The sequence below is a fragment of the Homo sapiens genome, chromosome 7, assembly GCF_000001405.40.
Source record: "Homo sapiens chromosome 7, GRCh38.p14 Primary Assembly".
Taxonomy (NCBI): domain Eukaryota; kingdom Metazoa; phylum Chordata; class Mammalia; order Primates; family Hominidae; genus Homo; species Homo sapiens.
In genome coordinates, this window is record NC_000007.14 from 73,468,861 (window position 1) to 73,496,847 (window position 27,987).

The following is a 27,987-nucleotide window of genomic DNA, read 5'->3' on the forward strand; positions in this document are numbered from 1 at the left end:
GCTCACACTTGTAATCCCCAGCACTTTGGGAGGCCGAGGTGGGCAGATCACCTGAGGTCAGGAGTTTGAGACCAGCTTGGCCAACATGGCGAAACCCCGTCCCTACAAAAAATACAAAAATTAGCCAGATGTGGTGGCACACACCTGTAGTCCCAGCTACTCGGGAGACTGAAGTAGGAGAAGTGTTTGAACCCAGGAGGTGGAGGTTGCAGTGAGCCGAGATCACGCCATTGCTCTCCAGCCTGGGCAACAAGAGTGAAATTCCGTCTCAAAAAAAAAAAAAAAAAGAAGAAGAAGAAGAGGACATCTAACACTGCCCTTCTTAGACCCCATACCTCAATTTCAGCCCTTGAGGCACCTACAAAGGCTTCCAAGGGACAAAGTTTGAAAACTGCTCCTATAAAAGCTAATACCCAAATATCCTCATATTCAAGCTCTTCATCTTCTCACACTATGCTTAGAACAAAGGTGGTAATCAAACGTGGGTTTCTCTCCTTCTTTCTACACATTTCACATCTACCTACTTCACTCAAATAGATCTAAGACCACAATAAAGAAATTCTGCAAATGGAAAACGTGACAGAGGAAAAGCAGTCCTTAATGTTGAGCCCACTTGAGCAGGGTGAAATAACTCTTAGATATACAGATATACTCACTGCGAGGACAGTAATCCTCATCACCAGAGACTGTGTGGTCTTTGCAGTGATGGTTGAATCGGTAGTCAATGCTGTCATGTACCCAGCCTTTTTCAATGAATAATCCTGGAACTTCATCTGAGAAGAGCCAGTATCTACAAATCACAACCAGTATTAATAAGACAGTGAATAGATCAGGATTGCAGGATGATTTTACTGCTGGAGAAGATAATACAGAGTATCACTGAGCATTCAAAACCACAGTTTACAGAATTCTTCCTCTTCAGAACTCTAGACAGATAAAAATTGCAAGGTAAATCAAAGTATACGAGAAATGTTGAAACTGGAGACTAGCTTAATGTTCGTAATTTGTATAATTTCTTTCTTTTTTAAATTGAAATGGGGTCTCGCTATGTTGGCCGGGCTGGTCTTGAACTCCTGGCCTCAAGCAATCCTCTCGACTCAGCCTCCCAAAGTGTAGGATTACAGGTGTGAACCACCACGCCCAGCCCTAATTTGTGTAACTACTAATATTTCTCCTTTAGGTTTCACAAAATGTATGTATTTAAAACCTACTGCCATTTTTAAAGACTTGGATTACATTTCACCTATCACCATCATGTAAGCTTCCTACTTGTGGTATATGCAAGGGCAGGAATATGTCTTACTTAACTTTGCAACTCTAGCATTTGGCAGTTAATATTCAATAATCATCAACAATTCTGTTTCCAAAAAGAATTGGAAAACTGAAGAGAGAAGCTTGTCTATTCTTGTACTTTAGAAAATTTTCCTAACTAATAGCAATGTAAATAGTCCTAAAGAAAACAAAAATTTGGTTTAGGAACTGACCTATTATGGTTTCGATCTGTGCCAATAGGAGTCCTGCGCATGACTAGTTTGGCCTTGGCAATCCCTTCCTGGAAAGCTTTCTCAGCAGCTGCTTTGTGCTTCCGTATTCGTTCTTCTTCAGCTTGGCGTTCCAGTTTCACTGTTAAAAATAAAAAGACTCAAATCAGATATTTTCCTAGTAAATCCCACTCTTACAAATTAAATAAAATATGGAGTAAAAAGTGCCTAGTATACAGTAGTTATCAAATCTTAGTTTGCTTTCTCTAATTCTAATCTGTTACAAGAAATTACATGTAAGGCAGCAACATCTAGTCCTCCTACACTCCTTGAATTTGTGGTGACATCTCATCCCTCAACTCAATGCAAAATCTTTTATCTCCAAAATATCACTTCTTTTTGTTTTTGTTTTGAGGCAGAGTCTTGCTCTGTCACCCAGGGTGGAGTGCAGTGGTGCGATCTCGGCTCACTGCAACCTCTGCCTCCTGGGTTCAAGCAATTCTCCCGCCTCAGCCTCCTGTGTCGCTGGACTACAGGCACACACCACCGTGTCCAGCTAATTTTTACATTTTTAGTAGAGACGGGGTTTCCCCATGTTGTCCAGGCTGGTCTCGAACTCCTGACCTCAACTGATCCACCCGTCTCGGCCCCTCAAAGTGCTGGGATTATAGGCGTGAGCCACCACACCCAGCCAAAATATCACTTCTTAATATATTTTAAACAATCCTGAAGAAACAGTTAACAGTCCATAAATAGGACTAACTGAAACATCTTCTGACAGGTGCACCTACAGGATCCTCAAAAAGATCACGATAAATCAAACTAGTAAAATAACTATTTCAAAATAAAACATATTTCAGTCCTGAGGAATCTGACAGTAATTTGGCTTAATAGCCCTGATGACAAGAAAACAAACCTGAAAAGCAACAGCAGGGACGCACTTGTGGATAATAATTATTTTACATTGAACACCTATTTTTCTAATTATTCTGCAAGTTACTGTTAATGATAAAAATTTTATTTCTGATCATTCATTAATTAGGTTTATTCAGTTAGAAATTTCCCTCAACAAAAGCAGCCCGCTAATTTTGTTAAGTTTTTCCATAATTGTCACAAACCTTGACACCATAGGGTACATGGCAATGCTATTTACAATGTCACAATTTTTAAGAAGTGTTTATTATTTTTTTAGAGATAGGGTCTTACTATGTTTGCCCAAGCTGGTCTCAAACTTCTGGGCTCAAGCGATCCTCCTGCCTCGGCCTCTCAAAATGCTGGGATTAGAGATGTGAGCCACTGCACTCAGCCCCAATAATTTTTAACCCTGATTGTCTATTGACAATAACATCTACAATAAGATGTAAATCTGGAAAATGCATCTGTCTAAAGATGTTACTTTAAAAACTTAAGATAAATTCCATTTATTTAAAACATGGAATTTGTTACCTTTGATAAACAGTTTTCTAGCCCAAGTGAAACTGTGTATTTGTAACAATGGTTATAGTAGAAAATAGCACAAAGGTAAATGATTAAAAAAAAAAAAAAGCGAGAGAGTGAGTGATGGCCCAATTACAATCAAGGAAAAGTTCAGTCTCCCAAGACTACAAACAAACATAAACCAACTTAGGACAAGTCACCAAAGGAAGACCAAATTCTGTCTCAGAGGTTACAGCACTGAACTAGTTATCCAAAGACCTGAACTCTAATCCAAATACTGATCTTGGTAAAACACTAATATTCTGTCTCTTGTTTCCATACAAATAACAGAGTATCATCTTCTTTTCCTTCTCTTAAGATAAATATAAAACACAGTGGAGCAGTCCAAAAATGCAAGAAGAAATTATTACGTTTCAGATAAAATAGAGCTGAAGGTTTTAACCTACATTCTGCTTCATCTGGAACACAGTTATACTTTTTTTTTTTTTCTTTTTTTTGAGACAGAGTTTCTCTCGTGTTGTCCAGGCTGGAGTGCAATGGTATGATCTCGCCTCACCGCAACCTCCGCCTGCCGGGTTCAAGTGATTCTCCTGCCTCAGTCTACCGAGTAGCTGGGATTACAGGCATGTGTCACCACGCCCGGCTAATTTTGTATTTTTAGTAGAGACAAGGTTTCTTCATGTTGGTCAGGCTGGTCTTGAACTCCCAACCTCAGGTGATCCGCCCACCTCAGCCTCCCCAAGTGCTGGGATTGTAGGTGTTGAGCCACTGCGCCCGGCCGCAGTTATACTTTCTTGATAGGTATTGTTTTGTTTTGAGACGGAGTCTCACCCTGTCACCCAGTCTGGAGTGCAACGGCATGATCTCGGCTCACTGCAACCTCTGCCTCCCAGGTTCAAGCGATTCTCCTGCCGCAGCCTCCCAAGTAGCTGGGATTACAGGCGTGTGCCACCACAGCCAGCTAATTTATTTATTTATTTATTTATTTATTTATTTTGAGATGGAGTCTCGCTCTATCATCAGGCTGGAGTGCAGTGGTGTGATCTCGGCTCTCTGCAACCTCCAACTCCCTGGTTCAAGCGATTATCCTGTCTCAGCTTCCCGAGTAGCTGGAATTATAGGCCGAGTAGCTGGAATTACAGGCACCACCACACCCAGCTGATCTTTTTTTTTTTTTAAAAAAGACAAGAGTCTCGCTCTGTCCCCCAGGCTGGAGTACGGTGGCCGATCTTGGCTCACTGCAACCTCAGACTCCCTGGTTCAAGCAATTCTCCTGCCTCAGCATCCTGAGTAGCTGGGATTACAGGCATGCGCCACCATGCCAGGCTAATTTTTGTATTTTTAGTAGAGACAGGGTTTCACCGTGTTGGCCAGAATGGTCTTGATCTCCTGACCTCGTGATCTGCCTGCCTCAGCCTCCCGAAGTGTAGGATTACAGGCTGTGAGCCACCGAGCCTGGCCTGTTCATATGTCTTTAAAATGTTAATACAATGGCCAGGGGCGGTGGCTCATGCCTTTAATCCCAGCAATTTGGCAAGTTGAGGCAGGCAGTTCATTTGAGGTCAGAGTTTTGGGACCAGCCTAACCAACATGGTGAATCCCCATCTCTACTAAAAATACAAAAATTAGCTGAGTGTGGTAGCAGATGCCTTGTTATCCCAGCTACTCAGGAGGCTGAGGCACGAGAATAGCTTGAACCTGGGAGGTGGAGGTTGCAGTGAGCCAGATCGCACCATTGCACTCCAGCCTGAGCGACAGAGCGACGCTCTGTATCCAAAAAAATAAATAAAATGGAAAGTACACATTACATATGTATACTCAGGCACAGTATGCATACATATGCAAAAATATTTCAATGGCCTTAAGTAGTGTAAACTAAAATTTGTTTTAAAAGGAATATACATTTTCTAATGAAAGAACTATTCAAGCCGGGGTTTGGTGGCTCAGGCCTGTAATCCCAGCACTTTAGGAGGCTGAAGCAGGAAGATTGCTTGAGTTTAGGGGTTCAATACCAGCCTCCACAAATAATAAAAAGATTAGCCAGGCGTGCTGACACATGCCTGTAAGTCCCAGCTGCTCGGGAGGCCGAAGTGGGAGGACCACTTGAGCCCAAGAGGTCAAGGCTGCAGTGAGCTGAGATCACACTGCTGCACTCCAGCTTGGGTGACAGAATGAGACCTTGTCTCAAAATAAAATAAAAAAGAAAATGTTGAAAAAGAACAAGCTGGAAGATCAACACTTCCCTATTCCGAAACTTACTACAAAGCAAAGTTATCAAGACAGTGTGGCTTTTACATAAAGACAGACATACAGATCAGTGAAATAGAATTCAGAGTCCAGAAATAAGCCAACGTATCCTACAGTCATATGATTTTTGACAAGCGTATCAAGGCCATTCAATGGGGAAAGGTTTGTCATTTCAAAAAACGGCACTAGGACAACTGGAGAGCCACATGCAAAAAAAAATAAAGCTGGACTTTTACCTTACACTATAAAAATTAGCTGAAAATAAAAGACCTAAATTTCAGAGGCAAAACTATTAAGACATTTGGAAGAAAACAGGAGTAAATCTTCATGACCCTGGATTTGGCAAAAGATCCTTAAATCTAACACCAAATCTATAAGTAACAAAAGAATAAATAGATAAAATGAACCTCATCAAATTTAAAAAACTTTTGTGCTTCAAATGATACTACTAAGAAAGTGAAAGGACAGGCCAGGTGCAGTGGCTCACAGCTGTAATCCCAGCACTCTGGGAGGCCAAGGCGTGCGGATCACCTGAGGTCAGGAGTTCGAGACCTTGCCTGGTCAACATGGTGAAAACCCACCTCTACTAAAAATATAAAATTAGCCAGGTGTGGTGGCACACGCCTGTAATCCCAGCTACTCGGGAGGCTGAGGCAAGAGAATCACTTGAACCCAGGAGGCAGAGGTTTCAGGGAGCTGAGATCACGCCACTGCACTAGCCTGGGCACAAAAAAGAGCGCAACTCCGTCTCCCCCAAAAAAAGTAAAAGGACAACACGCAAAATAGATGAAAATATTTGTAGACCAGGTATCAGACAGAGAATTGTATCTAGAATATATACAGAACTCTTACAACTCAATAATAATCAGATAACTCAATTTAATAATGGGCAAATGATCTGAATACTTCGCCAAAGATACACAGGTGGCCAGGAGACACATGAAAAGATGGTTCAACATCATTAGCCATCAAAGAAATGCAAATCAAAACCACAATGAGATACCATTTCACACCCACTAGTATGACTATCATCAAAAAGTCAGAAAATAACAAGTATTGATGAGGAAGGAGAAAAGTCAGAACCTTTAATTCACTGCTGGTGGGCATGTAAAATTGTGCAGCCACTTTGGAAAACAGTCTGGCAGTTTCTCAGATGGTTAAACATAATCATATGACCCAACAATCTTATTCCGAGGTATTTACTCTAAAGAAATTTAAGTATATGACTACTCAAAAACTCATACATGAATATTTATGGCAGCATTGTTCATAATAGGTAAAAGATGAAAACAATCTAAATGTTTATCAAGTGATGAATGAGAAACAAAACGTGGTATATCCAAACAATGGAATATTATCCAGCCATAAAAGGGAATGAAGTACTAACACATGCTACAACATGGATGAACCTGGAGAACATGCTAAGTGAAAAAAGCCAGCCATAAAAAGGCTACATATTATATGATTGCATTTACATGAAATATCCAGAATAGGTAAATCCATAGATGCAGAGAACAGATTGGTGGTTGCTGGGGGATGTGGACAAGGGAGAAGAGTGAGTGACTTTTGGGTTTTCTTTTAAAAATGTTTTGGGGCCAGGCATGGTGGCTGGCCCGGCATGGTGGCTGGCCGGGCACAGTGGCTCACGCCTGTAATCCCAGCACTTTGGGAGACTGAGGCGGGTGGATCAGGAGTTCGAAACCAGCCTGGCCAACACGGTGAAACCCCATCTCTACAAAAACACAAAAATTGGCCAGGCATGATGGCGCATGCCTGTAATCCCAGCTACTCGGGAGGCTGAGGCAGGAGAATCGCTTGAATCCAGAAGGCGGAGGTTGCAGTGAGCCAAGATCAAACCATTGCACTCTAGCCTGGGTGACAGAGCGAGACTCCATCTCAAAAAAAAAAAAAAAAAAATGTTTTAGAACTAAATAGAGGTGGTCTATTTTGTGACTGGCTTCTTTCACTTAGCATAATGTTTTCAAGATTCATTCATGTTGTAGCATGTAAAACATTATGCTAAGTGAAAGTCACAACAGACTATTTATTATACAATTCCATTTAGAGAAAATGCCTAGAATAGCAAATCTATAGAGACAAAGTAGACTAGTGGTTGCTCAGGGCTGGGGAGGATGGGCGAATGGGGTAATGACAGTTCATGGGTAGCAGGTTTCTTTGAGATGATAAAAATGTTACAAAATTGGCAATGGTTGTACATTATCTGTGACTCTACTGAAAACACTAAATTATACACAATAAGTGAACTAATTATACTGTATGTCGATTATTTCTTAATAAAGCTGCTTTTTAAAAGTTCAGATTCGATGGAGCCATCAAAGCCCAAAATTTTTAAGTTCTTAAATCTTAAAGGACAGATTACTATCTGAGTTGGTGACCGTGCTAGGGGCTTCAAATACCTTGTCAATCAATTTTACAACAATCTTATCAAGCATATGAGGAAAGTGAGGCACGGATAAGTAATCTGCCCAAAGGAACACTGTACAGCTAAGTCAGAGCTAGAACCTGAACCCAGGTCAGTCAACTCCCAAGTCCTATGTTGTTTCCACTATTTCTATTTGTAGATTTGGTCCTTTACTGAACCCAGAAAAGATGCCAACATCACATTAACTTATTAACTAATCAGAATGCCAGGCTGAACACTCCAGCTGAAATATGAAATTATCAACAGAACTAATAAAAAATAAAATACATACCAATAGGTGCTGGGTTATTACATACAGAAATAAGTAAACAAACAGAGACCCTACCATTACCTCAGTAATTTCCTTTCTTTTACTATCTTCTACAGAGCTTCCCCTTTTCTCTCAGCATGAAATTTTACCTTTCATTTCTCTTTCCTGGATTTCCCGTTCCTTCTTAGCTTGAATGGCAAGCAACCTTCTGCTCTTCACAGCACTAATCATGTCTTCAGCTTCTGTATCTACTTGGGGCTCAAACTTCACAATTTCTTTTTTCCTATCAGTTTTGCCTAACCCATTCTCAACTTTTCCATTTTCTTTATTTTTGGCTTCCATTTCTTTCCGTTTCTGTTTCTCTGCTCTCTTCTTATCATTTTCTTCCTTCAACACAGCAAGCCGTTCCTTCCACAACTCTGCAGACATCTGCTGTCTGGTCTCCATGTGGTCTTGCACTGAGTATGTCATGAGGATCCGGTGGCACAGTGCTGTCAAGATCTGTAGCTTCTCCTCTGACGTCAGCTCAAAAAATTCAGAGGTCTCCAGCTTTTCTAGGAACTCATCTTGTACCTCATTATCCTCAAATGCAGCTGAATCTTTATTGTCATCTGTGTCTGAGCCCTCGCTTTCCTCCTGAACATCAGATCTGCGCAAGCAGAGCCGCACCAGCTCTGAAACAGAATGCAGAGTCAAGGGGATTTCCGACAGCTTCATTCCCAATTCACCATAGTCTTCTGCTATCTCATCTTGTAGGAGGGTCTGTAAGAGGATGACCAACACCCTGTTAAGGTATAAAAAGCCACCCTTATCTGCACTCAAGGCTTCCATAAGGGACACAGCAGTAATAGGATACTGAGCATCTGGTAAAAGTAGCCCAGAATAACAGCTCAAGAATTCCACCACCATGGCCACATCCCCAAACAGCGTGTTGGGCAGCCCTTCAGGGGTATCCACCAATCTGAATGCTGGAAGGTTTTTGCCAGTTAACTCTTGGTCCTCATACCGCTTCTGTTTTTCTAATCTCTCAAGCATTTCTTTCTCTCTTCGTTCTTTGGCTTTTTCCTTCAACTTCTTTTTCAGCTCCTCCCGTTTCTTTTTCAAATATTCTTTCCGTTGTTCTTCAGACATAGAAGCCCACCTCTTTTTGTGCTCTAGAAGTTCATAGCGTTTTTGAACAAGACTTCGCAATTCTTCTGGGAGACGAGCTCTATCTTCACTAGAGAGAAGACGAGCTGTTTTGGAGATAACACAGGACAGGGCGCTCCTCTTGTCCTCCCTGTCTTTGTTTTCTTTGTAGTATGCAATGAGGTGTAGGGCTGCAGGAGGCAGATGTTTATGAGGTTTACTAGAGGTCCTAGGTGTACCCCCAGAATTCCGTGGGGCTCGTGTCATCTTCTGCGTGCCTTTGGCCATATCCAACAAAGTCATCTGCTTCATTTTGGTTTTAGGAGTCTTCAGTCCTTTTTTGGGAGATTTGGAATTCCCTGTGGATTTCTGTCCATTCAGGATGCCTTTGCTTCTGCCCTTTGCCTTCAAAGGCTTGTCACTGTGCTTCCCTGGTTTCTTGGCAGGTGGGCCTTTTTTAGGAATGTGAAAGTTAGTGTGCAGCTTATTGGGCGACATCATCTTCATCATTTCTTCTAGATGTTCTTCAGGAGATTTGGAATTCTTTGAGTTCTTCACTTTGAGTGGCGAGCCACTCAATGACTTCTTCAAGTGTACGTGACACCATAACTTAGGATTTAGTGGTGAACTAAGAGAAGAGTTGTCTGTCTTGGATTTCTTTGAGGGCTTCCTGTCTGGGGATCCAGTATTCTTCCTCTTAGTAGAAGGGTTGAGAGTCATATACTAGAATTTAAGAATAGGAGCAAAATTAATTTTAAAATCTAAAACTAACTTAAGCAACATTTAAGCATCTTAAAGGCCCTCTTCCCCAGCTATTCAGGTAAAGCTACATATTCATATCTCTTCATAGATACTTTGTCCCTGAAAAAACAAAGACATGAATGTTAGCTAATGTTTTTGTCATGTCAACACAAAATTCCCTTGACATCCAGACTTAATACTAGACATTTTTGCTATGTAACTAGTTCTGTTTATGTATATTAATGATTCTTAAATATTTAAACAAAATCTGTGAACCCCTCCAGCAGAAATAGTAGACAAAAACTATGCATACAATTTCAGAGAATCCATCCATGGACCCCAGATTAAGGATATCTGATCTACAAAATGGCAATATCTGAAAAGTTTAAAAAGCACTGTTCTTGAAACAAGACTGAATTTTCATCCTTTCACTGTTGGTTCCTATTCAGGGCATTTTATGCTTTTAAGTAGAAATGATACTGTTTAAAGTACTTTTGTCTTAACTCTGAGGTACATTTTCTTATAGAAGCATCAGTGAGTGTAAGAACAACATGAACACTGCTCATAGATAAAGACACCTCCTGACCTGGGCCTCAAACTCCCCTTTGTCCTCACCCAACACTTTTAAGAACTCATTCTGGCCAGGCGCAGTGGCTCACCCCTGCAATCCCAGAACTTTGGGAGGCCGAGGCAGGCAGATCACTTGAGGTCAGGAGTTGGAGACCAGCCTGGCCAACATGGTGAAACCCCGTCTCTACTAAAAATGCAAAAATTAGCCAGGCATGGTGGCACATGCCTGTCACCCCAGCTACTCGGGAGGCTGAGGCTCGAAATTGCTTGAACCCGGGAGGAGGAGGGTGCAGTGAGCCAGGATCACACCACTGCACTCCAGCCTGGAGGACAGAGCAAGACCCCCGTCTCAAAAAAAAAAAAAAAAAAAGAACTCATTCCCACAACTAATTTCACACCATCCTCTCTTTGAACATACCCTCTTATGTTCCAAATCCACTCCCTCCAGTCCCACAACTCTACAATCCTTCAATCTCACCAGAACCTTAAATCCATTAATTCTATTACATTTTCACCATCCTAACCCCCATGTCTTGCTTTACCCAGATTAAATTTTAGTCAATCATGATAATTAATCTCACATAAACCTATAGTTCCCTTGTCTCTCTTATTCTATTGTATCTACTTGGAAAAACCATAACCCTGATTAACTCACTCTATTTACTCCTGCCCTGCATATGTTCAGCTGAAACACGGCTAAAATAAAAGATAAATAAAAGTGGGTGGTCTCAGCTGGGTGTGGAGGCTCACACCTGTAATCCCAGCACTTTCGGAGGCCAAGGCGGGCTGATCACAAGGTCAGGAGATCGAGACCATCCTGGCTAACACGGTGAAACCCAGTCTCTACTAAAAATCAAAAAAATTAGCCAGGCATGGTGGCGGGTGCCTGTAGTCCCAGCTACTTGGGAGACTGAGGCGTGAACCCGCAAGGTGGAGCTTGCAGTGAGCCGAGATCACGCCACTGCACTCCAGCTTGGGCGATGGAGCAAGACTCTGCCTCAAAAAAAAAAAAAAAAAGTGAGTGGTCTCACTTTAAATTCATTGCCAGGCACCTCAAACGGGTCCTCCATATCACCTAGCAAACACAGTATGTTCCTTTAGTCCACTCATGTTCCCACTCTCCTGATACACATCTCATCTCCTCATACCTCCCATGCCTCATCTCCATCATATACAATCAGTTAACAGGTTACAGTCCGGTCCATTTGTCATGATACCACTGCTTCTCTTTTTAAATGTGTATTGAAAAAAAGAAAAACCAAACTCTTTGAGTGGAATGCTTTAAAAAAGATAATTACAAAGAAAAATGCCTGGTAGCTAAAATGCAAACTAATTGAAATAACCAAGTCAAGTAATCCAAAATACAGCCCATTTCAGAAGAAAACTGTTGCTTTATGTGATTAGGGAAAAGACTAGATCAACTCTAGAATACTTGATTTTTATTACCAAAATCAGCTAAGTACATCAATGGCACTCACAGATATGAACATCCAGTTTTTCAACAGAAGGGACTAACCAGAAAAGAGCAACATGTAAAGAAGAAGTCTAAAGACAAGTAGGTTAGGCTAGTTTGAGATGAGACTACAGGCAAGAAAACAGCTAAGGATTACTGAATAACGAAATTATGAGCCCCTTAAAAAAGGGTACAGGGAAATGGCTAAGGTGAGATAAATCCCAGGGATCACACAGTAAAACACCTATGCTCTTGTTAGGAGAAAAGCAAATAGGTTTAGTAAAATTAAATAAGCTGTACTATAAAGCCATTTAAATTTTTATTTTTTATTTTTGAGATGGAGTCTCGCTCTGTCTCCCAGTCCGGAGTGCAGTAGCGCAATCCTGGCTCACTGCAACCTCCACCTCCCAGGCTCAAGCGACTCTCCTGCCTCAGCCTCCCAAGTATCTGTGATTACAGGTGTGCGCCACCATACCTGGCTAACTTTTGTATTTTTAGTACAGACAGGGTTTCACTATGTTGGCCAGCCTGGTCTCTAACTCAAACAGGTGATCTGCCCACCTCCGCCTCCCAAAGTGCTGGGATTACAGGCATGAGCCACCCAGCCAGACCCCAATTAAGATTTAAACATTAGGGGCTGGGCGTGGTGGTTCACGCCTGTAATCCCAGCACTCTGGGAGGCCGAGGCAGGCGGATCATGAGGTCAGGAGATTGAGACCACAGTGAAACCCCATCTCTAGTAAAAATACAAAAAATTTTAGCCAGGTGCGGTGGCGGGCGCCTGTAGTCCCAGCTACTCGGGAGGCTGAGGCAGGAGAATGGCCTGAACCTGGGAGGTGGAGCTAGCAGCGAGCCGAGATGGCGCCACTGCACTCCAGCCTGGGGAACAGAGCGAGACTCCATCTCAAAAAAAAAAAAAAAAAGATTTAAACATTAAAGATACAATGAGAGAAACGAGCCCACAGAACCATGGCTACACGCAGAGGAAAAAAATATGGCCTACACTGAGTAGGATATACTTAACAAATCCCTCTTTTGGCTAAGCTATCTAACTTCAAAGGCCAACTGGCCTTTGAAGAGTTCCAGGCAACTGCAGGTTATTGTTCCTCTGCCCTTTTTGTTGCCTGATTAAAACTGTAATGTGTTGCCGGGCGGGGTGGCTCACGCCTGTAATCCCAGCACTTTGGAAGGCTGAGGCGGGCAGATCACGAGGTCAAGAGATCGAGACCATCCTGGCTAACACAGTGAAACACCATCTCTACTAAAAATACAAAAAAAATTAGCCTGGCGCGGTGGCGGGCGCCTGTAGTCCCAGTTACTCGGGAAGCTGAGGCAGGAGAATGGCGTGAACCCGGGAGGCGGAGCTCGCAGTGAGCCGAGATCCCGCCACTGCACTCTGGCCTGGGAGAAAGAGCGAGACTCTGTCTCAAAAAAACAAACAAACAAACAAAAAGAAACTGGAATGTGTTGTTCCCCAATCTCCAATAACCATCCTTAGAATGGGCTGACAAAGAGGCTTTATAGCTTTACAACATATAAACCCTATCCATGACTCCGGGATTACTTTCCCTAGATGCAGAATTTCCTCATTCTAGTTTCCCAGAACTGTATTTCAAAATGCTAGGAAGAATAAGCCAAGATAACTTATTTAAGACTCCAATCTCTTCATGCACAGTAATTACTATCAGTACTCCAAAGAGAATATGGCAGAGACCATCCAAATTGCAGAGCAAGACCCATTACTACCCTGGCAGGAAATAAGAACAAATGTGTGCCCCCAAAAAGTTAACAACCTTCTTCAGTCAGCCTTGGAAAATCTTCAGAGTACACACATACAGGCGGACATTTTTTCTAATGCTCAGAACAACAGATTATATATTTAAAGTCATCCTAAAATGAAATTTATCGCTAAAAAGGAGACTAAGTTTCATTTTTAGCATTTTAAATAGGTATGTTTTAATAGGGTCTGTTACAATAACTGGGACACTTCTTTATTTACTGATTATAGTTCTATTTTAAAAGAAAAATCACTCACATTTTACATGAGGTTCTTTAAACTTCTTCCACTTAGAAGCATAGTAGTATGAAGAAATGATACAAGAAAATGGTGGGATGGCTTAGCCATGAGGGTCTAGCAACCCATTTTTATTCGTAAGGTGTGTTTTTGTGCCAAGCCACACCATGTTTTTGTTTGTTTTTTTCTTAAAAATGAAAGAAATGAACTCACCCAACCCCCTCCCAATAGGCCGGCTCCCCACGTGAGCAGTCCTTCAGTAACTGGATCATCTCAGCATGGGGCATGCTGGGCAGTCACAGCCAAATGGGAGCCGGCATGGCTGGACTCAGGGGGATCTGAAAAAGTATAAAACCACTTATGTGCTAACAGTGCTCCCTATCCCCCACTCAGCACAGTTAATCTACCAGACTAGCAGATGGGGAGGGAGAAGAAAGGACACCTGGATTACCAGCAGTATAATTTTTGCCAAAGGCCCTTCCTAATTGCTAAACAGAAAAAAATATTTATGACTGTCTCGGCAACATGGAAGGTTGAAAGAAAAAGAGAGCGTCCACAATTTTACATTTGTTCCTGTCACTTGAAACTCACCACAACCACAAATATCTGTCTGCAACTCCTGTTTCTTGATTAAAAAAAGGATAAAAATTAAAGAAATTACTTGTAGCAGCTCATTCAGATGCTGCACACAACTTAATAATAAGCAATATAATCTAGGCAGCAAAACCCTGAATTAGCAAACCTTGGCAATCCATATTGATTCTTATCTCACTGTTCTCATTCACCCAGGGCAACATGTTAGAACTCTGAGGACAACACTCAAATAGTGGGCTTTTCTCAATTTCCACATGCCTTTATTAGCAAGTTTGCAAAATTTGTTACTATAAAATATATTTAAAGTGTTCTCAAAATAATATAACTTACTTTTCATTTTTTTTCTTCTAGCAACCATTCCTTCAACAATATAATTTACCTTTTAAAGTACTTCTGTTCTAACCCCTAACTCACAAACTTTTTTTTTTCCTCCACCCAAAACAGGGTCTCACTCTGTCTGTCACACAGGCTGGAGTGCAGTGGCATGATCACAGCTCACTGCAACCTTGACCTCCTGGGCTCAAGGGATCACCCTGCCTCCATCTCCAAAGTAGCTTGGACTAGAGGCACACGCCACCACACCCAGTTAATTTTTTGTGTATGTAGAAACAGGGTCTCGCCATGTTACCCAGGCTGGTCTCAAACTCATGGGCTCAAGCAATCCTCCCACCTCAGCCCCTCAAACTGCTGAAATTACAAGCAAGAGCCACTACGCCCAGCCATACACAACAAACAAACTTTAAGAGCGAGACTTTAAAGAAAAATCAGGCCGGGTGTGGTGGCTCATGCCTGTAATCCCAGCACTTTGGGAGGCCGAGGCTGGTGGATCACAAGGTCCAGGGATTGAGACCATCCTGGCCAACATGGTGAAACCCCATGTCTACCAAAAATAGAAAAATTAGCCAGGCATGGTGGTGGGTGCCTGTAGTCCCAGCTACTCGGGAGGCTGAGGCAGGAGAATCGCTGGAGCCCAGGAGGCAGAGGTTACAGTGAGCAAAGACTGCACCACTGCACTCCAGCCTGGCGACAGAGCGAGACTCTGTCAAAGGAAGGAAGGGAGGGACGGAGGGAGGAAGATAGATAGATAGATAGATAGACAGACAGACAGACAGACAGACAGATATAGATAGATAGATCAGCCAGGCATGATAGCTCACACCTGTAATCCCAACACTTCAGGGGTCGAGGCGGGGAAGGATTGCTTGAGCCCAGGAGTTTGAGACCAGTCTAGGTAACATGGCGAGACCCTGTCTCTTCAACAAATTAAAAATAAAAATTAGCTGGGCTTCATGGTGCACACCTGTGGTCTCGGCTACTCAGGAGGCTAAGGTAGGCGGATTGCTTAAGCCCAGAGGTCAAGACTGCAGTGAGCTATGATCACACCGCTGCACCTCCAGCCTGGGCAGAGCAAGAGCCTGTCTCAAAAAATAAAAAAATAAATAAAATATGTAATACTATGAGTAATGGACAAAATTATGTCACTGCCTTCTTAAATGATGCACTAAGAATACATCAATTCTTAATGTCCAAATATTCATAACCTGAATCTAATCATGAAGAAATAAACCAAAATCAAAGAGCATTCTACAAAATAACCGGGTTCTATTATTTCAAAACGTCAAGGTTTTGAAAGACAAAGAAAAGCTGAGGGACTGTCCCAGATTAGAAGAGACCAAAGAGACAAGTAAATGTGAACATGTGACACATGGTAGCACAATGGATCCTATTAAAGCAAAACAAAATTGTTTTTTTGGTTAAAAGATTACTGAAGAACTGGGAAAATGTGAGTAAAAACTATAGATTAGATAATAGAGTTATTTCAATGTTAACTTCCTGATTTTGACAACTGTACTGTAGTTACGTTGGAAAATATCCTTGATTTTTTTGTTTTGTTTTGTAGAGATGGAATCTCTCCATGTTGCCCAAGAAGGTCCTGAACTCCTGGACTCAAGTGATCCTCCCACCTCAGCCTCCCAAAGTGTAGAATTACACAGGTGTGAGCTAGCAAATATCAATGTTTTTAAGAAATTCATATTCCAGTATTCTGTAAAAGGGCATCCTGTCTGGAAAATTACTTGGCTCAGGAAAAAATAATTCGTGTGTATATAGACAGCAGATTAGGCCAGATGCAGTGGCTCACGCCTGTAATCCCAACACTTTGGGAGGCTGAGGCAGGAGGATCACTTGAGACCAGGAGCTCAAGACCAGCATGGGCAAGAGTGAGACTCCATCTTTACAAAAAATAAAAAACACAAAAATCAGTTGGGCATGGTGGTGAGCACCGGTAATCCTAGCTAGTCAGAAGCATGAGGTGGGAGGACTGCTTGAGCCAGAAGTTCCAGGTTACAGTGAGCTATGATCATTCCACTGCTCTCTAACCTGGGAGACAGCATAAGGCCTACCTCAGAAAAAAAAAAAAAAAAAGAGAGAGAGAATGATAAACAAATATGATAAATGTTAACATCTGAGGAAATCTAATTAAAGAGTACACAGAAATTTGGTAGTGTTTTGTCAATTCTCCTGTATAAAATTATTTAATAAAATATTAAAATGTGTTAAGAACAAGGCTAAATTCATGCAGGATTCCAAATGCCTTAAAGTATTATTTTCTTCTTACATCTCTAATCCAAAGGCTTCCCTACTAGGATTTATCAGTCTAAAATAAGAGCTCAAACATGATGGAGACTAACAAAATAGGGCTGCAATGTATTACAAGAGGAAAATGAGCTAGAGATTTCATCTTAGATGACAGTTATCACCCAATTGCCTTGTAAATCATTCCTCCAAGTCATTGGGCCTACAAAAAATTACGCTGCCCCTAAAGCCCAAATGTCAGTGGCATTTTTCTCCAACAAATGGAACTTCAAGAAATGAATAGCCAGTTACCTATTATATGCAACATACTATGCTAAACGTTACAAGATATAAAATAAGCAAGGTAGTTCTTATTCTCAAGTAATTTATATTCTACAAAGATTTTAGAAAACCACAAACACACCCTCATCATCATATTAGGTACTCAGGTAACAATCCAAAATTCCTGTATCTTTACATAATTTTCCTCTCTCCCACGTAAGCCCTCACTATGGGTCCTTTGGTAAAACTATTTTATTTATTTATTTATTTGAGACAGAGTCTCACTTTGTTGCCCAGGCTGGAGTGCAGTGGCGTGATCTCGGCTCACTACAAGCTCAGCCTCCCAGGTTCATGCCATTCTCCTGCCTCAGCCTCCCGAGTAGCTGGGACTACAGGTGCCCGCCACCACGCCCGGCTAATTTTTTGTATTTTTAGTAGAGACGGGGTTTCACCATGTCAGCCAGGATGGTCTCGATCTCCTGACCTCGTGATCCGCCCAACTCGGCCTCCCAAAGTGCTAGGATTACAGGCGTGAGCCACTGCGCCTGGCCTGCTAAAACTATTGCTCAGAACTCACTCTCTTTACACCTGGTCTCACTCTACAGTAAATGTACTCAGAGCCTGACAGAACATTACATTCTACAAAAACCAAAGAGTATACAGAGAGAGAAAACATCCCATGCCTTTGGATGGATGGGTCCTATGTGATCAACTTTAATCCTCAACAGATTATTTTAAATTTCTTCTAGAAAAAGAAAGAAAACAAAGCAATGTTTTAGGTTCTACTTATCATCTGTGTTACTATGTTTTGCCCTGGCTGAGAAGCCAAAGTCCTAATTTTATAAATAGGAAAAACACAGCTTATATACAGAAAACAATCAGTGACATGTCAGATAGTATTAGGAAATAAGAAATTATTGTTTAAGGTAGGGAAAACAAATAATAAACCTGAGTATATGCCTTTAACTTTGTAGACCAGTATTTTACATGAGTCTTAAGTTTTCTGAGTAAAATCACTGCCATCTTCCAGCACTTTAAGCAAGCTTCCATTTCCTAGTCTTAACCTAAATTATAGCCAAATTTCATAACATTAGTAAGTTAAGCCCCCACTAGAAATTCTGGGAGAAGCTTATTTCTTCAGAAATTGCCTTTCAGGTTTTAAGTTCCTGGAGTTCTAGTCTCTCTCTCCTACAAAAATTGTGGATCAGCTGGGCGTGGTGGTACGTGCCTGTAGTCCCCAGCTACTAGTGAGACACAGGGAGGAGGATCACTTGAGCCCAGAAATTTCAGGCTGCAGTGAACTGTGATTGTCCCACTGCACTCCAGCCTGGGTAACAGAGCAAGACCCTGTCTCTAAAGTAAGAAATAAGTGTGGATCAGCTTTTATGTCTTAGGAAACTCAAAAAATATTTTACCCATAAAAAGAGTCTTTCACATTATTCACATACTTGAATCACTAAACTAAAATACATAAAACAGAGCTGTAAGATTAGAAAAGAGGAAAATATTAAGGACTCAAGTAATCCAAGAATTAGTCTAAAACCCATTTAGAGATGGTTTCATGGAGTTCTCATATAGCGAAGATAGGAATCTCATGTGAAGACCACAGAAAGCTGAATCATGGTTCCAAACTCTGTGGCAACAAAATGACAGTGAACTCAAAATTTCTCCTCAACAAACAAAAACAAACATCTGAGAAAAAAATTATAGTTCCATGGAAAATTTAGTCCTGATCTAGAAAAAGCCAATTACTTTCTAAATTTTTCCTTTTAAGCAAATAATAATAATTTAAAGAGCATAACAGAAGACACCACTTATCTTGCTGGTCTAGAATAAGAAAATCTGCTAAGTGCTAAAACCATGACTGGAGGTCTTTACTAATGTTTTGGAGAAATAAAATTACTTTTCAATATGCTTTTGTCACCATAATCAACTTAAGATAATTGAACAAATTTAGTTGTTATGACTTCAGATGTCTTTATATTTTCATAATTAAATGAAATGGGAAAAAAAGAAATCCTGGAAATGTGACCTAGTTTTAATGGATCAAGAGCCCTTTTCTGGTTCTACGCTGGCCCAGAGACCAAGATGAAAATTATCAGCCAGTATGCTGCGTTACATTTACCAATGAAAGAAGCATTAAGTACTTTCAAAACCTACATTAAAAAACCACTTTAACAGGTAAAGCTTGAAATGGAAAAGAAAATCAGAAATCCTAGGCCAGTGTCTTAAGTCTTGTCATCACTTTCTGTTGGTTCTGATTAGACTAGGCCTCAGATACCCCATCTGTAAAATGAAATATATATATGTACCATATAACTTCATAAAAATATTTGGAAAATCAAAAGTGAGGATTTTAAAAATTACTCCTTCTCGGCCAGGCATGGTGGCTCACATCTGTAATCCCAGCACTTTGGGAGGCCGAGGCAGGCGGATCACTTGAGGTCAGGAGCTCAAGACTAGCCTGGCCAACACGGCAAAACCCCATCTCTACTAAAAATAGAAAAATTAGCCAGGTGTGGTGGCACATGCCTGTAATCCCAGCTACTCAGGAGGCTGAGAAGAAGGAGAAGGAGGTTGCAGTGAGCCGAGATCGCACTACTGCACTCCAGCCTGGGTGACAGAGCGAGACTCCAACTCAAAAAAAAAAAAAAAACAAAAAAAACTTACTCTTCAAGAGGAAAATACTAGGTTTTCCACTAATCTATCACACACACTGCTCCTCATTCCAGGTTCTTTTCAAGGCTGCCACTGTATGTGATCATCTTGTCCGACATGCAAAATCAGTTTTCATTCTTGGTAACTGGTTAACAAAATACTTTTTATATTTATACCATACCTCATTCCAAAAAGGGTCTGAGGCACAAAAGCACATGTATATAGACTTTTAAAATTATGCTAGCATAATAAAAAATAAATTGAACTGGGGAAGATATTAAATGTGGCCTCTCCCCTACCAACCTCACATAACAACCTGTATGTAACAGATATACCTGAAAAATTTTTAATTCATTATCTGATGTTAGAGTTCAAAACCTGCTATAAATATAAATATACTGGAGCCATCAGAGAAATAATGATGCTTTATCCTGCTGTCCAAAAATTAACAGTGACCTTACCTTGTATGGATCAAGTAAAAAGTCACTGAACTTGCTGGGCAGAGAGTATTTCTTCACCAATTCATCTTCTACGACCCAAGGTGCATTTTCACCAGTACCAGCTCGTAATGCATTATGCCGTATAAAGTATCGAACTATCTCCTTATTTGGTGGGCGCTCTGTACGAATCAAGCTGTCTGCTGGCACGTTACTGATGATCTAGGTTAAAAAGAAACAAATAACTCACCACTGGGGTAAAAAGTAATTACCCAAATGAGAACAAGCAATATACGTTCTCTCCAGAAAAATCAAAATTCCATCTATATCAACAGGGCTACAAATTAGAAAGAAAAATATATAGGCCAGGGATGGTTTCTTACACTTGTAATCTCATCAACTCAGGAGGCCAAGGTATAAAGATTGTTTGAGGCCAGGAGTTACAGATCGACCTGGGCAATATAACAAGACCCTCTGTGTACAAAAATCAAAATACGCCAATAGTCCTAGCTATTTGGGAGGCTGAAGCAGGGGAATTACTTGAACCCAGGAGTTCGAAGCTATAGTGAGCTATGGTCACACCAATGCACTCTAGCCTGGGCAACAGAGTGAGACCCTATCTGAGAGACAGAAAACGGAGAATAATTTTCAGAGACAGAATGTCAATTTAAAAATATCCTTAGGCAATATGTCAATATGTATCAAAGTTTTCTAAAAATATGTATACCCTTTCAGCAATTCCTCTCGTTAAGAATTTATCTTAGGAAGTAAATGGACAAAGTTGTCATCAAATGCTTGTAATAGCAAAAAAGTGAGGAATGGGTTGAGAGTTATTACCTAAAGGTACACCAATAAGGGATTTGTTAAATGAAACTATGTACATATAATGGACACTGCAGTCCTATGAAAAAACTTTCTCAATCCAGAAAAATTCATCAGAATCATCTAGGGTACTATTAAAATGCAGATGTTTGGGCCTCACCACACACTTAATGAATCTTATGACTCTCTGGCAGTAGAGGTTAGGAATCAACATATCTAATCACCTCCCCTGGTGACTATCACACACATTAAAATCTGAGAACACTGTTTTGGAAGAAAATTTAATGACATTACAGATGTTTAGCACACAATAAATGAAAAAATTAAGTTATAAAATAATATAAACAGAATAGTTCTACTTTTAAAAGTCACTTAATAGCAGGAAACAGAGAAGGAAGGAATACAAAAAAATTTTTTTTAAAAAGTCACTTAGGAGCTACCTACCATTCACTAAATCTATATTCACCAATTATCTCTGAGCATGACATCAGATACTATCTCTTTCTTATTTGCATTTTCTTTCTTCCTGTAACCAATACTTATATTTGTGAACAAAATACTTATACTCATCAATATGAATACAAGGGATACTTAGGGAAGTGGTTAAAACTAAGCATTTTTTTTTTTTTTTGAGATGGAGTTTCACTCTTGTTGCCCAGGCTGGAGAGCAATGGCGCAATCTCTGCTCACTGCAACCTCCGCCTCCCTGGTTCAAGCTATTCTCCTGCCTCAGCCTCCCTAGTAGCTGGGATTACAGGCATGTGCCACCACGCCCGGCTAATTTTGTATTTTTAGTAGAGATGGGGTTTCTCCATGTTGGTCAGGCTGGTCTCGAACTCCCGAGCTCAGGTGATCCACCTGCCTCGGCCTCCCAAAGTGCTGGGATTACAGGCATGAGCCACCGTGCCTGGCCTAAAACTAGGCATGTCTTAATCAGCTACCTTGCTGAATGAGAAGAAACTCTGTGAAAAATTGTATTTAACAATATCCAATATTCAAATATAAAAAAATCCTGGCCAGGTGCAGTGGCTCATGCCTGTAATCCCAGTACTTTGGGAAGCCGAGGCAGGCGGATCACAAGGTCAGGAGTTCAAGACCAGCCTGGCCAACATAGTGAAATCCCGTATCTACTAAAAATACAAAACTTAGCCGGGCACGGTGGCGGGCACCTGTAATCCCAGCTACTTGTGAGGCTGAGGCAGGAGAATCGCTTGAATCCGAGAGGCAGAGGCTGTAGTGAGCCAAGACCGTGCCATTGTACTCCCGCCTGAGCGACAGAACAAGACTCCGTCTCAAAAAAGACAAAAAAACAAAACAACAACCTAGGCCGGGCGTGGTGGATCACGCTTGTAATCCCAGCACTTTGGGAGGCCAAGGGGTGGTAGACCACCTGAGGTCAGGAGTTCGAGATCAGCCTGACCAACGTGGTGAAACTCTGTCTCTACAAAAAACACAAAATTAGTCAGGCATGGTGATGCATGCCTGTAATCCTAGCTACTTGGGAGGCTGAGGCTGGAGAATCACTTGAACCCAGGAGGCAGAGGATGCAGTGAGCCGAGATTGCGCCATTGCACTCCAGCCTGGGCAACAAGAGCAAAACTCCATCTCAAAAAAAGAAAAGAAAAGAAAAAAAAAATCCTAACAACCCAGCCAAGGCTTCTGATCACGAACCATAACACCAACAGTCAGAATGGAATCGGACTTGTCAGCATTCTGAGGCAGGAACAAAACAATGTAAATAAAGAAGCAAAAGATTTGGGTTACAATCCTTCCCATTTTCATTTACTGAATCAAGAATTTTGACAGTTATTAAACTTCTCAGGTCTTAGCTGTTTCTTCTGTAAAATGGTTATACCTGAAGACAAATGTGCATTGCCTTCCACACCCAGTCTCCTAATCCACCTTTCTAAGATTCTGCACATACAGGTGGTGTAGGAATACCTGAAAAGTAACATTCCATATTTCTTAGAATCTTAGTTCCAATCAGCAAAACGCTTTTTTTTTTTTTTTTTTTTTTGAGACGGAGTCTCGCTCTATGTTGCCCAGGCTGGAGTGCAGGGGCGCAATCTCAACTCACTGCAACCTCCGCCTCCCAGGTTCAAGCGAGTCTCCTGCCTCAGCCTCCTGAGTAGCTGGGATTATAGGCGTGCGCCACCACACCTGGCAAATTTTTTTTTGTTTTGTTTTTTGAGAAGGAATCTTGCTCTATCGCCCAGGCTGGAGTGCAGTGGCGTGATCTCCACTCACTGCAAGCTCCGCCTCCCAGGTTCATGCCATTCTCCTGCCTCAGCCTCCTGAGTAGCTGGGACTACATGCGCCCGCCACCACGCCCGGCTAATTTTTTGTATTTTTAGTAGAGATGTGGTTTCACCATGTTAGCCGGGATGGTCTCGATCTCCTGACCTCATGATCCGCCCACCTCGGCCTCCCAAAGTACTGGGATTACAGGCGTGAGCCACCACGCCCGGCCTGACTGCTCTACTTTTAACTGGGAAGAGTGATTTCCTTGGAAAGTCCATAACTGCTGGGAACAGATTCTTAATTTTCAAACTGAATTTCAAGCTCAAATGTAAATTACTTACACTCTACTAATTCCTATAAGAAAGAGGAAAAGCATGGTATCTTCTAGGAAAGAAAATATAATTTACATTAACTTGAAGTCATTAATTACTGTAACTACAAAACCACTCAGAATCTGCTGTACATTCATTTACATTTTTCTTCAGCACATTTTCTCCAACAAAAGCAACCCTATGATATTTTCTTAAAGAACATCTATCACATGTAAAAAGTAAAGTGTCAACTAACCTTATCTTCATTTTGTAGTTTCACATCATATTTGTGAGGCAGAAATTTTGGAGGAGCCCATTTCCTTTCTCCTTTTTTTAATGAAGTAGGAAGTTTTCGTGGCGATCTACGTGCTCTGTCATCTAGTCAAATCATAGAAAATTAGTGAAAAACGTAATTATTTTAATCCTTTTCATTCATTCATTAACAAGTCTTAACTGAACGTCTGCTCTTCACTAGGCACTGGGTGATGCAGTACAAAAATGAATCATAATGTCCTTAACTTCAAGGAGCTAAAGTCTATGAGGAGAGTCAGCAAGTAAATAACTACAATGTACTATAAATAACTACAATGTAGTAAACAGTGTAATAGAAGTTGGTAAAGAAAAACACTATGAGAGGCCGGGCGTGGTGGCTCACGCCTGCAATCCCAGCACTTTGGGAGGCTGAGGGAGGCGGATCACCTGAGGTCGGGAGTTCGAGACCAGCCTGACCAACATGGAGAAACTCCATCTCTACTAAAAATACAAAATTAGCCGGGCTTGGTGGTGCATCCCTATAATCCCAGCTACTCGGGAGGCTGAGGTAGGAGAATCACTTGAACCCGGGAGGCAGAGGTTGCAGTGAGCCAAGATCACGCCATTGCACTCCAGCCTGGGCAACAGAGCAAGACTCCGTCTCAAAAAAAGAAAAGAAAAGAAAAATACTATGAGAATACAGAGAAGGAATACCTAACTTAGTCTGGAAGGTAGGTAGAAAGATGAGTAAGAATATGACTTGGGCCAGGTGTGGTAGTTCACGCCTGTAATCCCAGCACTTTGGGAGGCCAAGGCAGGCAGATCCCCTGAGTCCAGGAGTTCGAGACCAGCCTGGGCAACATGGTGAAACCCTGTCTCTATAAAAAATACAAAAAATTAGCCAGGTGTGGTGGCACATGCCTGTAGTCACAGCAACTTGGGCGGCTAGGGTAGGATGGCTTGAGCCTGGGAGGTCAGGGCTGCAGTGAGCCCTGATCTTGCGACTGCACTCCACACTAAGAGACAGAGTGAAACCCTGTCTCCAAAAAAAAAAAAAAAAAGAGAGAGAGAGAGAATACGATATGACCTGTTCAGAGATTGCAGATTGCAAGCAATAAGGTGTGGTTAAATATGATGTATACTACAGTGAAAAAAATTCAAAAAGGTAAGCCAGGGCCATATTAGAAAGGGCCTTGTATACCATTTAAAGAGATTAGAATTTGTCTTGCTAGCACTAGAGAACCAATGACAGACTGTGGCTGTAACTAACTACGGTGCATTTTGGAAAGATCAATATAAAATGGGGCCCATCACAGTGGCTCGTGCCTGTAATCCCAGCACTTTGAGGAGCCAAGGCAGAAGGATCACTTGAGCTCAAGAATTCGAGACCAGCCTGGCCAGCATGGTGAAACCCTGTCTCTACAAAAAATAGAAAAAATTAGCTGGGCATGGTGGCACGTGCCTGTAATCCCAGCTACTCGGGAGGCTGAGGCAGAAGAATTGCTTGAACCCGGGAGGTGGAGGTTGCAGTGAGCCGAGATCATGCCACTGCACTCCAGCCTGGGCAACAGAGCGAGACTCTGTCTCAAAAAGAAGACGAACATAAAATGGAAAGTTGATACTGAAGATAAGGAAATTGGAAGATACAATGCTAAACATCTGAATTAGGCTGGGCACACAGGCTCACACAGGTAATCCCAGAACTCTGGGAGGCTGAGGTGGGGAGACTGCTTGAGCCCAGGAGTTTAAATCAAGCCTTAGCCACATGGTGAGACCCTGTCTCTAAACAAACAAACAAAAAAAATTAGAAAGGTGTTGTGATGCACACGTGTGGTCCCAGCTACTCAGGAGGCTGAGGCAGGAGGATCACTTGAGCCTGGGAGGTTGAGGCTGCAATGAGCTATGATCACACCACTGCACACCAGCCTAGACAACAGAGCAAGACCCTGTCTCAAAAATAAACAAACATCTGAACTAATGTAACTGTAATACAGAAGGAAAGAGAGTCAAAATTCTTCCAGTTCGTGACCAACTAGACGTGAGAATGTTAAAGGTATTTTAACTTTTCTGCCTTAGACACTAGGTGGATGGACGGTGAGCCAAGTAAAAGAATGAGAGAACAATTCTTGTTTACCTGCCTTGGGATACAAGAAGAGTGAAGTCAATTCAGCTTTACACATGTTGAATCTAAACTGCATAAAGGAGGGGCCAGGCGTGGTGACTCACGCCTGTAATTCCAGCACTTTGGGAGGCCAAGGTGGGCAGATCACCTGAGGTCCAGAGTTCGAGACCAGCCTGGCCAGCATGGTGAAACCCCGTCTCTACTAAAAATACAAAATTAGCTGGTTGTGGTAGCGTGCTCCCATAGTCCCAGTTACTGGGGAGGCTGAAGCAGGAGAATCACTTGAACCCATGAGGCGAAGGTTGCAGTGAGCCAAGATCGTGCCACTGCGCTCCAGCCTGGGTGACAGAGCGAGACTCCGTCTCAAAAATAAATAAATAAATAAATAAATTGCATATAGGACAGGCAAGTAAAGATCAAGTCTACAGTTAAAAGTCTGACCCAGGCTTGGAAATCACCAGGCTACAAACAGTTAAGAATTCAAACTGTGCCATGAATAGCATATAACATTACACTATGCAAACTGAAAAACAGAAGGCAAAGAATAGAATCCTATGGAAAAAGTCAAAGGAATGGCAGGGAAGGAAGGAAGTAAAGAAACCGAATAGCTGGAGCACTAGGAGACAGTGGTATCAAGCTAAGAGATATGAGTGACCAACAGTATTAAATGTAACAGATACAGCACTATTCACAATAGCAAAGACACAGAATCAACTTAAATGCCAACAATGGACACAAGAAAGAAAATGTGGTACACATACACCATGGAATACTATGCAGCCATAAAAAAGAATGAGATCATGTCCTTTGCAGCGACATGAATGAAGCTGGAGGCTATTATCCTTGCAAACTAACACAGGAACAGAAAACCAAATACTGCATGTTCTCACTTGTAAGTGGGAGCTAAATGATGAGAACACATGGACACATAGAGGGGAACAACACACACTCAGGCCTTTTAAAGAAAAACAACTAATGGGTACTAGGCTTAACACTTGGGTGATGAAATAATTAATCTATGCAACCAAGCCCTATGACACAAGTTTACCTATGCAACAACCCTGCACTTCTACCCTTGAACTTAAACGTTAAAAAATAAATAAATATTAATAAATATAACAGAAAAGTCCAACACAGGCCAAGAAGAAATCTCTGCTTTTGACAATTAAGAGGACACTTGTAAACTTAATAGGAACTATTTCAGGAATATAGAGGCAGAAGTAAGACCACAATAAAACTGATGTTCGGAAAGCAGAGAGAATATTCCTAACCAAAACACTTCTCAACCTCAAGGAATTGCAAGTAATGCCCTTATTACAAAACTTCAGTATCAAAAAGAAGAGGGAAACTGGAAAATACAGACGTTAGCATTCACAATACAGGAGAAAACAAACTGAAGTATCAACAACTTGGGATGGACCAACTACAATGACACTCTCAGAAGTTTGCTTCGAACTACATTAAGAAAGTACCTCAAAAACCATCTGCACAGATCCAAAACATCTAGACACACAAAATAGAATGGGAGACAGACAACATCACATTCTAATGCAAAGTTTGTACCAGTTAAATAGTAAGCTAACATTTGATCCTCTAATACTCATGCGGAGGGAGACCAATACACACCAAACACTTGGTGCACCTACATTTTTGGAGACAACAATAATCAAGTCCAGTCAAATTCTTTATTAATGAAGGCCTCAGAGGCTGAACGGTCTTCCCAGTGAGCCAAATCTCAATTGTTCAAATTTAAAAACATTATTGTTAGAGTCTCCAGGTCCCTAGGACATCATAGTTTCAGGATTTTACCTGCTCCCGTGTGAGAGGGACTTAGATTACAGATTATGGAGAGAAAAAAGTGCAACTGACCCTTGAACAGCATGGGGGTTAGGGCTCTGACCTCTCCTCCTCTCGCAGTCAAAAACCTGTG

The 27,987-nt window shown here is 41.5% G+C and overlaps 1 protein-coding gene across 3 annotated transcripts in view; it reads right to left on the reverse strand.

Annotated features, from left to right (window-relative positions):
* Window positions 1-27,987, reverse strand: part of BAZ1B (bromodomain adjacent to zinc finger domain 1B) — an 81,888-nt gene that overhangs the window by 28,455 nt on the left and 25,446 nt on the right. For all 3 annotated transcript variants that reach the window (NM_032408.4, NM_001370402.1, XM_047421016.1), the window contains exons 5-9: window positions 23,940-24,061; window positions 20,334-20,531; window positions 8,008-9,709; window positions 1,485-1,623; window positions 657-790 (exon numbers count right to left, since the gene is read on the reverse strand). In NM_032408.4, the coding sequence (NP_115784.1) occupies window positions 657-790; window positions 1,485-1,623; window positions 8,008-9,709; window positions 20,334-20,531; window positions 23,940-24,061 (2,295 nt within the window). The remainder of the gene's footprint in view (window positions 1-656; window positions 791-1,484; window positions 1,624-8,007; window positions 9,710-20,333; window positions 20,532-23,939; window positions 24,062-27,987) is intronic.